General features: G+C 44.3%; 1 protein-coding gene and 1 long non-coding RNA gene across 10 annotated transcripts in view, besides 4 other annotated features; one reads left to right on the top strand and one right to left on the bottom strand.

Moving 5' to 3' along the window:
• NUDT4 (nudix hydrolase 4) overlaps nt 1-17,067 on the bottom strand; it is a 30,222-nt gene extending 13,155 nt beyond the window's left edge. For 2 of the 9 annotated variants that reach the window (NM_199040.4, NM_019094.6), the window contains exons 1-2: nt 16,571-17,067; nt 273-383 (exon numbers count right to left, since the gene is read on the bottom strand). In NM_199040.4, coding sequence (NP_950241.1) covers nt 273-383; nt 16,571-16,669 — 210 coding nt within the window. In that variant the 5' untranslated portion in view covers nt 16,670-17,067. Of the gene's footprint in view, nt 1-272; nt 384-13,960; nt 14,005-16,201; nt 16,415-16,570 lie in introns of those variants that run through there. The other 7 variants (NM_001301022.2, NM_001301023.2, XM_047428135.1 and 4 more) reach the window with 5 other exon arrangements.
• Nucleotides 16,436-16,735: a silencer, noted in NCBI's record as "silent region_4706". NCBI's record gives its function as "represses an Ori minimal core promoter by ATAC-STARR-seq in GM12878 lymphoblastoid cells {active_cell/tissue: GM12878}" and the evidence as "EXISTENCE:reporter gene assay evidence [ECO:0000049][PMID:35858748]".
• Nucleotides 16,436-17,471: a biological region, named in NCBI's record as "H3K27ac hESC enhancer GRCh37_chr12:93771297-93772236".
• Nucleotides 16,532-17,471: an enhancer, noted in NCBI's record as "H3K27ac hESC enhancer chr12:93771297-93772236 (GRCh37/hg19 assembly coordinates)". NCBI's record gives its function as "activates a minimal SCP1, AML or CMV promoter by ChIP-STARR-seq in primed H9 embryonic stem cells {active_cell/tissue: H9 hESC(primed)}" and the evidence as "EXISTENCE:reporter gene assay evidence [ECO:0000049][PMID:30033119]".
• Nucleotides 16,956-17,295: a silencer, noted in NCBI's record as "silent region_4705". NCBI's record gives its function as "represses an Ori minimal core promoter by ATAC-STARR-seq in GM12878 lymphoblastoid cells {active_cell/tissue: GM12878}" and the evidence as "EXISTENCE:reporter gene assay evidence [ECO:0000049][PMID:35858748]".
• Nucleotides 17,256-17,569, top strand: part of LOC643339 (uncharacterized) — a 373,979-nt gene continuing 373,665 nt past the window's right edge. The window contains exon 1 of the long non-coding RNA NR_040096.1: nt 17,256-17,555. This is a non-coding gene — a long non-coding RNA (uncharacterized LOC643339). The remainder of the gene's footprint in view (nt 17,556-17,569) is intronic.

Below are 17,569 nucleotides of genomic sequence, written 5' to 3'. Positions count from 1 at the left end.
CTGTAATCCCAGCTACTCGGGAGGCTGAAGCTGGAGAATCACTTGAACCTGGGAGGCGGAGGTGGCAGTGAGCCAAGATCGCTCCACTGTACTCCAGGCCTGGCAACAGAGCGAGACTCCATCTCAAAAAATAAAAAAAAAAATTAAAATTAAAAATAAAGTTGCATCAGGCAAAAAGCACTCCTGGACCCGTCTCGCTGTCTTAGTGTTATGTAGCAAAGGGCCTTGTTTTTAAAACTCCGAAACAGAATTTGTGTGAAAGAACATCTCACCTCCTCATAAACTTCCCTCACGGCAGCACCGCCAGGTTCCTCCTCGGGTTCCATTCCTCCTCCTGGGACAATCCACTGGTCTGGGTACCGGCTGCTACTCACCAGCAGCACCTGTAAGGTGAACCATAACTGTATACTTCCAGCCTGAGAAGCACTTCGTATATAAACAACATTCTCAAACCTCTGCAAGGTTATAACTCTATTCTAGATTAAAATATTTTAAAATTTAATTAAAATTAGGGGGTACGCATTACACCACAAAAATGCAATTGACAACCTTTGTTAAACACCATCTTTCTGAAATCAGAATTAACATTAACATGGTCACACTACCAAATCACCTTATCTAATGAAATAAACTACTGGTGGTAAAACTCTCAAATTATTGGATAATAACAAAGGATAAAAACAGAAACTTGGCTGGGCGCGGTGGCTCACGCCTGTAATCCCAGCACTCTGGGAGGCCGAGGCGGGCGGATCAAGAGGTCAGGAGATCGAGATCATCCTGGCTAACATGGTGAAACCCCAAACCCCGTCTCTACTAAAAAAATTAGCCAGGCATGGTGGCGGGCGCCTATAGTCCCAGCTACTTGGGAGGCTGAAGCAGGAGAATCGCTTGAACCCAGGAGGTGGAGGTTGCAATGAACTGAGATCGTGCCACCATACTCCAGCATGGGTGACAGAGACTCCATCTCAAAAAAACAAAAAACAGAAACTTGGCTTATTAGCCAGAGTTGTATGCACTGAGGTCTATGGTCACATAAGTTTATTTAGTTATGGAATATTCCAAATTTAAGGAAATGACCATAGGTAGGTTACCTTGTTTCCTCACCTAAAAAATAAGAATACTAAGAAGATAACAGATGTGTGAGAAAGAAATAGGGAAATGCACATAAAGACGATTCTTGATACAGAGTGCTTGTTACTGTTATGATTAGGTGGCAAGAAGCATCCTTCACATTTTAAACCTGCATACATAGGCAAAAGTCACTTCATTCTTCTAACAGGCAGCTATCATTTATGATCTAGAACAGGACTGGCAGTCTGCAGCTCACCACCTGTACAGTCTGTGAGCCAGAAGTATTTTTACATTTTAAAATTATGTGAAATTCAAATTTCAGTGTCCACAGATGGAATTATTAGAATCGAGTCACTTACTCATTTTTACATATTGTCTGGTTGTTTTAATGATGCAACAGCAGAGTCAAAGCAGTTGTGACAGAGACTGTGTGGCCCTCAAAACTTAAAATGTTTGTCTGGCCCTTAATTTGGAAGTCTATGGACCCCTTACCAAGAATAGCATTAAGATTGAAATGTGGCCGGGCGTGGTGGCTCACATCTATAATCCCAGCACTTTAGGAGGCCGAGGTGGGCGATCACCTGAGGTCAGGAGTTCCACACCAGCCTGGACAAAACATGGTGAAACCCCGTCTTTACTAAAAATACAAAAATTAGCCAGGTGTGGTGGTGCATGCCTGTAATCCCAGCTAATCGGGAGACTGAGGCATGAGAATCACTTGAACCTGGGAGGCGGAGGTTGCAGTGAGCAGTGAGCAGAGATTGCACCACTGCACTCCAGCCTGGGCAACAGAGCAAGACTCCATCTCGGGGAAAAAAAAAAAAAAAAAAGACTGAAATCTACAAATTGTTACAAAAATACCCTATTACCTTAGACAAGTATCCTAGATTTTATTTAACAGGTAACAGGTATTACATACCCATCTTTTAAATGAATATCTGGCCGGGCGCAGTGGCTCATGCCTGTAATCCTAGCACTTTGGGAGGCTGAGGTGGGCAGATCACCTGAGGTCAGGAGTTCCACACCAGCCTGGACAAAACATGGTGAAACCCCGTCTTTACTAAAAATACAAAAATTAGCCAGGTGTGGTGGTGCATGCCTGTAATCCCAGCTAATCGGGAGACTGAGGCATGAGAATCACTTGAACCTGGGAGGCGGAGGTTGCAGTGAGCAGTGAGCAGAGATTGCACCACTGCACTCCAGCCTGGGCAACAGAGCAAGACTCCATCTCGGGGGAAAAAAAAAAAAAAAAAAGACTGAAATCTACAAATTGTTACAAAAATACCCTATTACCTTAGACAAGTATCCTAGATTTTATTTAACAGGTAACAGGTATTACATACCCATCTTTTAAATGAATATCTGGCCGGGCGCAGTGGCTCATGCCTGTAATCCTAGCACTTTGGGAGGCTGAGGTGGGCAGATCACCTGAGGTCAGGAGTTCAAGACCAGCCTGGCCAACATGGTGAAACCCCATCTCTACTAAAAATACAAAAAATTAGCCGGGCGTGGTGGAAGGCACCTGTAATCCCAGCTACTTAGGAGGCTGTGGCAGGAGAATCACTTGAACCTGGGAGGCGGAGGTTGCAGTGAGCCGAGATCATGCCACTACACTCCAGCCTGGGCAACAGAGCTAGATTCTGTCTCAAAAAAAGGAAAAAAAAAAGGGGGGGGGGGAAACAAAGGAATATTTGTGGGCTAGCTTAGGTTGAACTTCACTTAAGTTAAAATCAACTCAAGGTGAGCGTGGTGGCTCATGCCTATAATCCCAGCACTTTGGGAGGCTGAAGTGGGTGGACATCTGAGGTCAGGGGTTCAAGACCAACCTGGCCAACATGGTGAAACCCTATCTCTACTAAAAATACAAAAATTAGCTGGGTGTGGTAGCACATTCCTGTAGTCCCAGCTACTCAGGAGGCTGAGGCACAAGAATTGCTTGAATTCAGGAAGCGAAGGTTGCAGTGAGCCGAGACTGCACCACTGCACTTCAGCCTGGGCAATGGAGTGAGACTCTGTCTCAAAAAAATAAAAAATAAAAATAAATAAGTCAATTTGAACAAAAGTGTCCACAAAATTATCTTAGTATACTACCTTCAAGTAAATTTAAACAGTTCTCCCTCGAAAACACATAGGGTTTATCACGAAGTTTAATTCCCAGTGTGCATAGAGATGATGATGATAACTAAGACAGGGTCTCACTTGGACATCCACGTTGGAGTGCAGTGACACAATCTCTGCTGACTGCAGCCTTCACTTCCCGGGCTCAAGTGATCCTCTCACTCCAGCTTCCCGAGCAGTTGGGAGTACAGGCACCCACCACCAGGCCTGGCTAATTTTTGTACTTTTTTTTTTTTTTGAAATGGAGTCTCGTCCTATCATCCAGGCTGGAGGGCAGTGGCATGGTCTTGGCTCACAGCAACCTCTGCCTCCCGGGTTCAAGTGATTCTCCCACCTCAGCCTCCAAAGTAGCTGGGATTACAGGCACCTCCCACCAAGACCAGCTAATTTTTGTATTTTGAGTAGAGATGGGGTTTCGCCACGTTGGCCAGACTGATCTCAAACTCCTGACTTCAAGTGATCTGCCTGCCTTGGCCTCCCAAAGTGCTGGGATTACAGGAGTAAGCCACCATGCCCAGTCTGATTTTCGTATTATTTTGTAGAGGTGGGGTCTTGCCATGTTGCCTAGACAGGTCTCAAAACCATGGGCTCAAGTGATCTTCTCACCTTGGCCTCCCAACTGGGATTACAGGCAAGAGCCATGACTGATTTTTTTTTCTTTTAAATGCATGCCAGCACTTCTATCTGCCCTGCTCCCTCCCTGCTGCCAGGAGCTGCTGGCCTTTAAGAGTTCTCAGCCAGCACAGGAGTCCTCTCTCATTTGACTAAGTTACCAGGAACTTTTCCAAACTGGAAAGTTTCAAGCTGACAATTCAGCAACTCCCACCCTTCTCTCAAGCCCCCAAAATGCTGAGTTAAAAGAGAGTATCTATTTAGGCATAGAACCTCCTCTTAGAAAAGCAGCATTCCAGGCCAGGCATGGTGGCTCACGCCTGTAATCCCATCCCAGCACTTTGGGAGGCCAAGGCGGGCAGGTGTGAGAACAGCCTGGGCAACACAGCAAAACTCCCTCTACAAAAAAATACAGAAATCAGCCATGCATGGTGACATGTGCCCATAATACCAGCTACTCAGGAGGCTGTGGTGGAAGGGATCACCTGAGCCCAGGAGGTCGAGGTTACAGTGAGCTGTGATCATGCCACTGCACTCCAGCCTGGGCGACAGAATGAGACTGTCTCAAAAAAAGGGAGGGGGGGTTATTACATTATCAAATTATACCCAGATGAGACTTTATAGAAAATTAGAAAAAGAAAATTAAAAATCCAAAAGTGCATGCAAGGGTCTCTAAGTTCAAATTCTACTTTCAACAGAGAAACTACAAATCAGATTTCAAAACCTTTGTATTTTATTCAAAATTGGAGGCTTACAGAGGATCTATGGCAACCAAAGGCACTGGCCCTCTATCAAGACTGGCAAGTGAATGTTAGTTTTTAAGTTAAATAAAAATGTTAAGAGTTTGTCTCGCATCACTGGAAAAGTAAACAGCAACTACTGGTCCGGACTGCAGAGTTACAGGCCTCTTTTTCTGGTCACTAGGTTTGGGTTAGGAATAAACTGGTTTCTATTGCCTAGATGAAATTCTTGTTACACAATTCTATGCTCTCTAAGCAACTTCCTGGATTACGTTAATAATGGGACATAACGCAGGTGGCTAGCCGCCTGAAAAGTACATCATCACTTAGTAAATAGTAAATAGGGAGTTCAAAATCATCCATATTCAAAATGTTGCAGTCCTGAATAAATGAAATGCAAAGTCTCATGTATCTAGGTCATTGACTATGATGTTTCCAGTTCTCCAAGACAGAGCTAAATTACAGGAGATTAATAATGTTGAAAAACCATTAGTATAAGATGTGTCTGCTTTTCTGAAGAAACATTTTATGCTTCAGATTTTTTTTTTTTTGAGACAGAGTCTCGCTCTGTCATTCAGACTTGAGTCTAGTGGTGCAATCTCGGCTCACTGCAACCTCCGCCTCCTTGGTTCAAGCAATTCCCTCCCTCAGCCTCCCGAGTAGCTGGGATTACAGGCTCCCACCACCATGCCCAGCTCATTTTGGTACTTTTAGTAGAGATGGGGTTTCACCATCTTGGCCAGGCTGGTCTTGAACTCCTGACCTCGTGATCCACCTGCCTCGGCCTCCCAAAGTGCTGGGGTTACAGGTGTCAGCCACCGCGCCCGGTCTATGCTTCAGATTTAAAACCAATCCTGCATCTACAAGACATCAGCATGACTAAACTTTTCTTCCAAAAATGAGTAATATGGAACCCTTGTGTCTCAACATCTCTCTTTCATAAATTACTTTTTAGAAAGCCTCATGAAAATAGTATATAAATTTGATAAGTGATTTAGCACAATCCAGTAATTTATGATATAAGAATCTCGGCTCACTGCAACCTCCGCCTCCCCGGTTCAAGCGATTCTCCTGCCTCAGCCTCCCAAGTAGCTGGGATTACAGACATGCGCCACCACGCCCAGCTAATTTTGTATTTTTAGTAGAGACGGGGTTTCTCCATGCTGGTCAGGCTGGTCTTGAACTCCAGACCTCAGGTGATCTGCCCGCCTCAGCCTCTCAAACTGCTGGGATTACAGGCATGAGCCACCACACCCAGCCAAATGTATCTTTCAAAAAAAAGGCCGATAAATTTAAATGAGTAATTATCTATGGTCCAGAAATGATTCACATCTAAACTACTAGCTTAAGGCAGATGTGCTAATATCCAACTTTTGGTGATGGTAGTTTTAAAATCCAGCATGTTTCATTAAGCACTTGTCTACTCATCTAAATTGACAAACCTGCAGATAGAATTGGGCTCCTCTGGGCCCTTGATCTGCCAATTAATTCCAGTCTGTCCTAAACTCTGCTACTTTTGAACCTTTCATGCTTTTGAGGGTCTACAGCTAACACAGTCACCACTAGCATCATATGGCTAAATTTAAGATTAAATAAAATTTAAAATTCAATTCCTTAGTCCAGTCATATTTCAAGTGCTCATCTCAAGGGTCACATATTGGACATCTACAGCCAATTAATGGTATATCCTTTTCAGAACAGGTAAAATATGTAACTGTTAGTTATTTATCCACTTAAATTTTCATGCAAAACCTTACCACTTTAAAATGCTTTTCGAAAGAAAATCAGAATCATGAAAATGGGCTAGCAGGAAAGAAGCATCATGCACATGGTATCCAAACTAAATCCATTCACTTTTGTCTTTACAATCTTCAGCCTCTAGAAGGACAGAGAACAGACTGACTCCTGTCAAAAAGTGACAATTCAGCACAAGTTCTCCACCTTAAAGAGAAGCACTGTGGAGAAAGAAGTTGCTGATTTTGTTCCTTATCTACTAATTGTGTGATACTCAACAAGAATTGTATGTGATGAAAAGATACTGAATATACATCTTTCCCTCAAAGAGCTTATATTCTTGGAGGTGGGGTTGGAATACAGTCACATAGAATGCTCAATATTTTGTGTCTAAAAACTGCAAGAACACATACATCTATATAAATCTATATCATTATAAATTGTGGACAAACGATTTAGCCTAATCCAGTAACTTATCATCCAAGAGTCCCTTGACATCTCAGGAAGAATAAATTTGGTCAGACCAATAACTTCAAATTATCTTTCCATAAAATGATCGCTTTAAATGGGTACTTAATATCTGTGATATAGAAATGACTGGCCATCTAAACAACTAGCTTATGAAAAGAGGTCTCACACAGATGTCATGGTGACAGATTTGAAAGTCTGTCTGTTTCATTAAGTACTTGCCTACTCATCTTGAATAGTTCATTTGAGTGTTCAAATGAGGGCAAGGCCACATCTGGGGGGGTGGTGGTGGGGAGAAGGCAGTGACTAAGAGTGAGCAAGAACTGAGGGATACACTCCAGATAAGAGAATAGACTGGATGATGGCGTATGTCTGCCAGGGTGGAAAAATATGAACAGCATTAGTAGAGAGAAGGACAATTAAAACAGTCCCCTGCCTGCCCCCAACCCCAATAACAGTGAAAAGTCTTTTAACTTAAGGCCAACTAGTGTGATAGCTAGGCCATCCTGTGATCACCTGGGGTCTGTCATGCACTTGGAAGCGGTCCCCAGCACTAGATCTAGACCAGTACAGATGAAAAAAAGTTGGTATCACATTGGAGCATGTTTATATTTTAATTAGGCAGACAACAGAGGACACTAACAACTTTTTAGGCAAGGGGTTGAGATTAAGATGAAAACATAACTCAGTGTTTCCTAAGAACCGCCACACCTGCTCTATTGTTCAGTGCTATATGACCATTTCTCTTTCCAGAAAAACATTTCACCAAGTTAAAAAGCCTGAGATTATAAAAGAGAAACTGGGGATGGTGGTGAGGAGTTGCACCGTAGTGGAGTACTGTCACTCCAGAACTATCAGGAACTCAAGAATTACAGCTTTTCTGTTGAATTCACTTGGAATCTGTTGAAAATGAAAATCATCAATGTAGATTTTTCTGGACTACATTTTTATGGAACTACTAAAGCAATTCAGCTTGAAAAAACACGTTTTGTAAAGAGCATGCAAATAAAACAGTCTAGCCGGGTGCAGTGGCTCATACCTGTAATCCCAGCACTTTGGGAGGCCGAGGCAGGAGGATCACTTGAGGTCAGGAGTTCAAGACCAGCCTGGCCAACATGGTGAAACCTCATCTCTACCAAAAACATAAAAAGTAGCTGGGCATGGTGGTGCACGCCTGTAATCCCAGCTACTCGGGAGGCTGAGGCAGGAGAATCACTTGAATCCAGGAGGCGGTTTGCAGTGAGCTGAGATAGCGCAACTGCATTCCAGCCTGGGCAACACAGTGAGACTGTCTCAAAAATAATAATAATAAAAAAAAATCAGAGTTCATTCAGTATTGTTTTCCAGAGGCCAAAATTAATAAGAAGGTGTACTTTCATTATCAAAGATTTAGCTATGTTCTTCCAGTTAAGAGTTTTCCAACCTAGACAAAAGATTTGACATATCTGCTAATACAAATTTTAAGTGTTCCACAAAAATTTGAGAATGATGAAAATATCTAGTATAGTCAATAATGGAAATTTTGTTTCTTACATAAATTTTGGAGATACTAGTTCTGAGCAGTCCGTGTTTTTACTAGTTACATACTCACATTTTTCAGCTTCATTATATCTTTTCTACTAAAACTCTGTGGGAAAACTCAACTATTAATAGCTTCTTTTTTTTTTTTGAAACAGGGTCTCACTCTGTCACCCAGGTTGGAGTGCAATGGCGTGATCTCGGCTCACTGCAACCTTTGCCTCCTGGGTTCAAGCAATTCTCGTGCGTAAGCCTCCTGAGTAGCTGGGATTACAGGTACACACCACCATGCTCGGCTCATTTTTTTTGTATTTTTAGTGGAGACTGAGTTTCACCATGTTGGCCAGGCTGGTTTTGAACTCCTGACCTCAAATGATCCACCCACCTCGGCCTCCCAAAGTGCTGAGATTACAGGTGTGAGCCACTGTGCCCAGCCTGAACTATTAATATCTTCTATAGGCCAGGCACAATGGCTCACACCCGTAATCCCGGTGCTTTGGGAAGCCAAGGCAGGCGGACTGAGTCTAGGAGCTCAAGACCAGCCTAGGCAACATAGGAAGACCCTGTCTCTACAAAAAACTCAATAAATTAGCCAGGCATGGTGGCATGTACCTGTAGTCCAAGCTACTCGGGGGGCTGAGGTGGGAGAATCATCTGAGCCTGGGAAGTCAAGGCTGCAGTGAGCCATGATTGTGCCACTGCACTCCAGCCTGGCTAACAGAAGTGAGATTCTATCTCAAAAAGAAAAAAAAAATTATGTATATATATATATATATATATATATATATAAAAAGATTTACTATATATATATATATAAAATCTATACATGCAGAAATCTAAAATCAAATTTCAGCACAATTTATTGTAAGGTTTTTTTTTGGCTTGTTTTGGGGGCGCCATTTGCTGAATCATAGCAACATAACCATAATGGTTGCTTTTCTTGCAATAATATTGATTTCAAATAATAGGCAGCTGCTCCTAAGCCCCTCCTACAAAAGTGGAAGAATCTCAATCTCTAGAACCCTATCACAATGCATTATTCTTCAACACTCACTCTAAACGCACACAACAGCCATCTACACATTTCTATCACACCCCCAAAGCTACTAGTATAGTTAGCATGCTAATTAATGCTCTAAAGATGGGTTATAAAAGCTCATTCTACAAAGACACACCAACAGTTGACAGAGCCACACATGGTCATTCATAGGTTTGAAATTCCCTTCTCTGAGTAGACTAGATTTTCTGTATCCATCAAGATACTGGTCTGTTACATTAGCGATGACAGAGATGAAGGAAGATGCATTCAACCTTCCAGATAAATCAGAGCTGTGACTATATGAAAGATTTACGAAAAGGAGGCTACTCATTCTACCAGGTTGCAGAGCCAGACCTGGAGCACACTCAGACCCCAAAGCCAACGCTATTAGTGTGGTGAAAAGTGAAGACATCTCTTCCTACTCTATTCAACCTATCTTCGCATAAGCATTCTTTCTTCCTACTACTCTACTAAATCTTACTCCCTCTTCCCATGTATTAGATAATTACCAGAAAAAAACACCACTCACCTGGCACTGCTGAAGAGTTATTTTGTCTTTTCCTAGATACCTAAGGTTTTAAGCATTTGGAGAAAAGCATTTATCACTTTAAGAATAGTGTATTGGCCGGCCATGGTGGCTCACGCCTGTAATCCCAGCACTTTGGGAGGCCGAGGTCAGGAGTAAGAGACCAGCTTGGCCAACATGGTGACTAAAAATACAAAACTTAACTAAAATTTAAATACAAAATTCAACTAAAAATACAAAAATTAGCCAGGCGTGATGGCATGTGCCTGTAATCCCAGCTACTTGGAAGGCTGAGGCAGGAGAATGGCTTGAACCTGGGAGGCGGAGGTTGCAGTGAGCTGAGGTCACGCCTCTGCACTCCAGCCTGGGTGACAGAGTGAGACTCTTAAAAAAAAAAGAATAGTGTATTGACAGTAGTCAACAGGAAACCAACCCTAAATCTTATTGGATAAAAGTCTATGAATTAGAATGATCTATTGCAAGCCTGCTCAACCTGTGGCCCGTGGACTGCATGCAGTCCAAGATGGTTTTGAATGCAGCCAAACACAAATTTGTAAACTTTCTTAAAATATTATAAAATATTTTTGCAATTATTACTTTTTTAGCTTACCAGCTATCATTAATGTTAGTGTATTTTATGTGTGGCCCAAGACAATTCTTCCAATGAGGCCCAGTGAAGCTAAAAGATCGGACACCCCAGGCCAGGCACGGTGGCTCACGCCTGTAATCCCAGCACTTTGAGAGGCTGAGGTGGGCAGATCACGAGGTCAGGAGATCAAGACCATCCTGGCCAACATAGTGAAACGCCGTCTCTACTAAAAATACAAAAAATTAGCTGGGCGTGGTAGCACACGCCTGTAGTCTCAGCTACTCGGGAGGCTGAGGCAGGAGAATCGCTTGAATCCAGGAGGCAGAGTTTGCAGTGAGCTGAGATTGCACCACTGCACTCCAGCCTGGTGACAGAGCGAGAAAAAAAAAAAAGCTTGGGCACCCCTGATCTATTTTATAGAATCTATACCCTTTATCACCTGACGGGTCCTCCTCGCTGGTGATGTATAAAAGGGTGCTGTTCAAGGGCTATGTAATGCATTTATGCCTTCAGAGGCTGTAGGTCCTTGGGCCTCGAATTCCCATTTGTGTTTCAGCTTTTACCCTTAAAGATGCAATTGTCATGGCTTGGCTCTAGGAACTCCAACCACTATAGATACCACTTCTGTTCCCGGGAAGGGGAGCGGAGGAGCCATCCAGAGAACCTCAAGTGACCCCTAAGAATGAAGAGGTTTATTATGAAAATTGTAGCTATTCAGAAACTGTTTGTTGTTGTTGCTGTTTCTGAGACGCTGTCTCGCTCTGTCGCCCAGGCTGGAGTGCAGTGGCGCAATCTCAGCTCACTGAAAGCCCCGCCTCCTGGGTTCAAGGGATTCTCCTACCTCAGCCTCCGGAGTAGCCAGCACTACAGGCACACACCACCACGCCTGGCTAATTATTGTATTTTTAGTAGAGACGAGGTTTTGCCATGTTGCCCAGGCTGGTCTTGAACCCCTGACCTCAGGTGATCCACCCACCTTGGCCTCCCAAAGGGCTGGGATTACAGGCGTGAGCCACTGCACCTGGCCTACTCAGAAACTGTTTCGAGGTTGCTATTCTTTCTTTCCAAATTATCATAAATCAGGGTATCATGAATGGTTGAAACTACGTTAACCTAATTCTACTACACTTAACCAAAATTTAGCCAAAATTAGGCCAGCCGTGTTATTAGAAACACCCACTATGCACATAGACATTTTAAAAGAACATAGGTTATGAAAATGGTTTGATACATGCTAAACAGCTACCTACTATTAAGAAAATTAGTACTTCTTTTTGGACCAGAGGCAGAGTAGACCAGAAATAACAGTTCTTTCTTCTAAACTATGTTTAGCTCCAACTTATATGGGATTGGTAGATAAGTATTATCAATAATGTTGTAAATCAGGTTGACCATGGATTTTTTACCTAGCAGGTCAATGTTTTAAAGTGACGGGGTATAAGCTTTTTTTCAATTAGAGAAAAGCTTGAGCTATACCAAGACCCTAAGAAAAAAAAAAAAAATCCAATGCAAATTCTACGTTAATGCCTGGTTTAATGACGGGAAACCTTCTGGGAGAGCTGGAGGCACAGATGAAGAAGTTGGTGACACTTCCCTGTGTTTAAAAAAGGCTTCCAAGCCGGGTGCAGTGGCTCATGCCTGTAATCCCAGCACTTTGGGAGGCTGAGGTGGGTAAATCACAAGGTCAGGAGATCAAGACCATCCTGGCTAACACAGTGAAACCCCTTCTCTACTAAAAATACAAAAAATTAGCCAGGTATGGTGGCGGCTGCCTGTAGTCCCAGCTACTTGAGAATGGCGTGAACCTGGAAGGCGGAGCTTGCAGTAAGCTGACATCGCGCCACTGCACTCCAGCCTGGAGGACAGAGCGAGACTCTGTCTCAAAAAAAAAAAAAAAAAAAAGGCTACCTTTGGATAGTACTTATTTTTGATGAAAGTGGTCTCCATTTGAAAGAAATACCTTCAAGGACTTAACTCTGAAGAACTATGAGCCCCAGAGTATGTGTGAAAAGGGTGGACTGACTGTTGATTCTAAGTATAAAAATGCTAGTTGAGATTTAACTCTAGTAATATTTTGAATTAGTATTGTTGCTCATCGGAGCTCTGGTTTTAGGTTTTCAGACTTGACCTTTCCCACCAAAGCTTTACTGCATGATTTTGTACAGCTCAAGATTTTTCAGGAATATATATTCAGCATTATAGCAGACCATCTGTAGAAGACAGCCCCTGGCTCATAGAGCTTAAAAGCTAATTAGGGCAGCAAGTCCTATGGAAGAGTAGTGGTTTTTTTTGTTGTTTTTTTTTTTTTTTTTGCAGGCAGGGTCTTGCTCTGTTGCCCAGGCTGGAGTGCAATGGCATGATCTCGGCTCACTGCAGCCTCCACCTCCCAGGTTCAAGGGATTCTCATGCCTCAGCCTCCTGAGTAGCTGGGATTACAGGCACATGCCACCACGCCCGGCTGCTTTTTGTATTTTGTATTTTTGGTAGAGACAGGGTTTCGCCATGTTGGCCAGGCTGGTCTCAAACACTTGACTTCAGGTGATCTGCCCACCTCCGCCTCCCAAAGTGCTGGGATGACAGGCATGAGCCACCTGCCTGGCCTGTAGTGGTTAGTCCTTCAGACTGATTTGTTAATGCCTCTCTTGCAACTATGTCTGGATTTCACACAGGATCAAGTCATTCTACTTCTCCCCTTAGCAGTCTAAACCTATTTTGCTGCCAGATCACTCTCAAGCTTGAACACATCTACTATCTCAATGTTCTTTGTTCAAAACTAAGTTCAAAACAAAACTTTGTTCTTGCGTAGCAACTTCTCAACCTTACATTTGAAGTGTTGCAAATTTTTCAACTATTACTGATTCTATGCTATCCCTAAGCTGCAGCCAAATCTATCACAGCCCCAAGTCTTGCTCTATTTGGGACGCCTGGTCCCTCCTCTCCCAGTCACCCACATCCAACTCCAAATGACTCACATTGGATCTGAACCCCAGAATACCCGACCGCACTTTTCCCTTACTTTATTTCCCTTTCCATTGATCCCTTGTCCAACCTTTCCCTACAGAATGATTCTTAGGAGCTAAGACCTCATCTCTTCATCCCCTTTTAAACTATCATATATGCAAATACATTCAACAGAATCCATTTCTGATTACCTATTTGTAAAAGCATTGTCATCTTTCACTGTACAAGCACAGTACCCAGCTACTCTACAGGGCAATTAGCTGTGGGCCTGTCTAGAAGCCCAGCGGCCAAAACTGAGGGTGCTTCCCCACAGAAATAACTAGCTGGGGAGGTAGGTCAAATAAACAAAACATTTAGAAACAAAGGACCAGAGCTCAAAAGGATCTGCCAGCTTCTGTGACCTTGGGATAGGTTACTTCTGCTACCTAATTTCTTCCTAAACAAATACTAATACTTATTTACCCTACAGAACAGAAAAAGATAAAATGGAAAATATTTAATATATAAAGCCACCTTAAAAGAATAACTCTGCTCTTAGAACAACCTTCTTTCCTAGAACAATCTGTTTTAAAGTAGAAACTTACTGAGAACTTCAGTACAGGAACAGCCAGATGGGAGCGCCACGTAGCTTTTTTGGGGTCAAATTGCAATTACTCTTTTACTTCCATTTGTACTCTATATAAACATTTCATCCTCAAACAAAACATACATTTAAATCTTCTAACCAGGATCTAGGTGTTTTTCATCCAGTAGAGGGAAACATTTCTCACCTATTAACTAGAGAGGTGGGCTCAAGCTGGTTTTCTAGACTGTCCTGGGAAGTCTGGCAATGCAATTTCAACAGAGTGAAGGCAAATTCATAGAGAAACAATAGAATCTCCAGGAAAGCTAACAGAGTTTATTCTGTAATAATCATGTAATAGATAAAGCCTCAACTACACACAATCACAGAAATGAAAATTCTGAAGAGCTAAACCAGATGTTAAAATTGGCTGTGCATTTCACTTAAGGAGAATTCTAGAGTCTTCCCTCAGATCATATCCTCTAACAAGATGACTCACTCTCTTCAATTCTCAACCTACAGGTTATCAGATTTACAAAGTTTTATACAATGGATTTTTCTAATACATTCTCCAAAACTTGCTCCCTACTTCACCTTACCTAATGACACGGGTCTCTTGACTCAACTAGAGGCTATGAATTTAGTATTTATTTCAGTAGAAATAATATCCAAGCATAAAAATAATCATTTATTTTTATTGCTAAAGTAATTCCTAAAGCTTCTATCAGTCTTTGCTTTACCATAAGCACAATAGAGATCATCATTTCAATTTCCATCACTCATATTTTCCCCTAGAGTCTAGTATTTTTACAAAGCCTGAATTCCAAGTTCACATTATGGCAACACTTCAGTCACCACTTTCAGATAGGCTTCCAAACTTAGCCTCACAAAAATCTCACTCACTCAACAAACAGAGCCCAACATCAGGAGTAAGGACTGGACCCTGAATCCTGACTCTACCACTTCCTAATTGTGTCATTTGGGAAGGTACTTATGCTCTGCAACTGTCTCCTCACCTATAAAATGGGAGTAACTTCACTACCTCCCAGTGTTAAAAGGATTAAATGTATAACAAGTTTTCTTCTGGCAGCGCCTGGCACATTGTAAGCACTCAATTAAGAATATCATTACACAATATTGAGGAAACCAGACAAGATCCTTGATCTATCTTGATCCCTTTTGGCTATCATTTCTTTTATATTTAAAGTTTACTACTTTGCCTCAACATGGCCCCTTTCCGCTAAGGCTTTATCTTTTTTACAGAACACACTTAATGCTTGTTGACTTGTTCATTTTGTAAAAGTTAATAACCTTTCCCTTTGCAGTTTCTAGCTCTCCTAAGCAGACCCATCTCAAAGGCTGGGGCCGTATTTCTCTGCACACTCGTTTGGGATTCAAGTCTAATACGTAAAGGTTATGAGTGAGCACAGAGCAACCCATTTAAAGGGCTTGGTTTCTTTTCAAAAAAAAATAAAGGCAAAACAAGGGTTTGAAGGGCAAATTTCGAGAACTTTTCGTTAACATAACAAGAACTAAGCCACTGAGTGTATTCTGTGTCATATTCATCACAACTACAGGGACTAGCAGTAAGGAAGCCATTAAATTCCCATCTCCAGCCTTAGCCTAGTATTTTATACACGGTTGGTTATGAAAGCAGAACTCAGAATGTTAATTTTTTTCACCTATGTAATTTATCTTAAGAGTGGCAATACCAAAAGGCTACTATTGCCCTAAGCAAACTTCAACAGTTAGCCATTTTAAATAAATACTACTGAATTAAGTAAAAATCGCTCTCCAGGGAAACCCCAAGGGTCTCATTCTCAGCCCAATGCAGATGGGTAAATTATCCAAGAACGACTGCTCTGAGAACGAGAAAGGCTACTCCTTTCCAGATGTCAAGCCAGACAGCAAAGAACCCTTTATACATAAGCTGAGAGCTGGAGATTACTGTCTGAAAATGGCAGCTTTGCCCATCTCTAGTCCATCGTCTCCCTTTTGGCATTATTCCACATTTTTCACTAACCATTTTTCTGCAGTCAGAAAACTTTAAGAAGGGAAGGCCGTTTTAAAAATGAGGCATAATTATGCCAACAGCTTGCGGGTTCATGGACCCACAAGAATTGCCAAGACTAGACTCAATTCCAAGCACGAGGACTGTCTGTTACTCCACAAACATGCTTAGATCGAATCCGAGACCGCAAACGGCTGTAACATGGAAGGAAAATATGTAAAAGAGGCACAAGGGCTCTGCTGCAACACTCACGCCATTTCCACCCTCCTCTCGCTGAGCACTCGAGGTTTATCCGGCTTTCAACTCAATTCGCACGTTAAGATGGTGACTCCCGCTAGGCGAGACTTACGCGGCCCGGGACCTTCCCGGGGACCAGGCGCCTTCTCGAGTGCCCAGATGGAGAAACTGGGGCTGGGCGAGCCCCCTTTGTCTCATCTATCAGCCCAGAGAAAGGAAGGAAGAAGTGAGGGAGGAAAGGAGTGAGGGAGGAAAGGAGGGAGGGAGGAAGGGGGCTAATCCCTCCCAGCCCCGCAGCCTGCGCAGGGGCGGGGAGCGAGGGGAAGCACCCGGGCCCTAGACCCCGGCGCCCCGGAGGGCAGCGTGCGGCGCCGGGCGCCCTACCTCGTCCTCCTGCTCGCTCCGGAAGCACAGGCACGCCGCCCGCTTCTTGAAGCCCTCGCGGTCGTAGGTCCGCGTCTGGTTGGGCTTGAACTTCATCATAGAGGCGGGCTCCTGCTGCTGCTGCTGCTGCTCCGGCCGCCGCCGTGGGGGCCCGGCCGCCGCCACCCCGCCGGGGAGTGGGGGCGAGGGCGAGTCGGGCGCAGGAGCGCCCGGGAGCGCTAGTCGGTGCGGGAGGTGCGGCGAGGCCGGTCAGTCCCGGGGCCGGCGGCCGCTCCGACGCGGGCGGGACGGGACGCTAGCGCGGGTCACTGGAACCAGGGTGCCGAGATGAAAGCTCCGCCTCTGCCCAGTTGTCCGCCGCTCTCCATGGAGCCCGACTCCCGCTCGCCTCCGCTCCCTCCGGCCGTAGCCGCCAGGGGAAGGGCGGCTAGAGGCGCGCGCCACGCGGAGACAGTTGCGAAGACCCGCTCCCACTGAGCAGCAGCACCGCGGCGACCGCGCGCCGCCCCCTCTGCTCTGTTTAAATGAAGCCCACATGCGCCCCGCCTCCCCCGCGCGCCACTGCGCCTGCGTGCAGAGACCATTGCAATGGGGTGGGTGGGTAGGTGTGGCGGGGGAGGTAGGGGCGGGACCTCGGCCGCCCGGTGGGCGGGGCCGCGCGCACTCCCGGGCTGGAGTTCGGCGAGGCCTTGGGACTGGCGCTGGAGCCCAGCGTGGGATGACCGTGCCCCGAAAACATGCCAGTGAATGGAAAGAAGCCAAGGTCCCCTCCCTCCCTGCTTATACCCTCAACTTTGCCAATGAGGACCCTAAATACCAGCTGCACTACAGGGGATGTAACTACATACACCGTCACCAAAGTTGCAGCCTGGCCAAGAAATGCCAGGGGACGTCGCGGCGATTGCAGACTCCGCGGTGACTGTGTAGATACGTCCAGAATTCGCCCTTGTAGCGCGGGGAGAGGCGAGAGTGAAGGCCTAGAAAAGTTAAGACGTTAAC

The sequence above is a fragment of the Homo sapiens genome, chromosome 12 (assembly GCF_000001405.40).
Source record: "Homo sapiens chromosome 12, GRCh38.p14 Primary Assembly".
In the NCBI taxonomy this organism is placed as follows: domain Eukaryota; kingdom Metazoa; phylum Chordata; class Mammalia; order Primates; family Hominidae; genus Homo; species Homo sapiens.
This window is presented reverse-complemented; position numbering and strand designations above follow the sequence as displayed.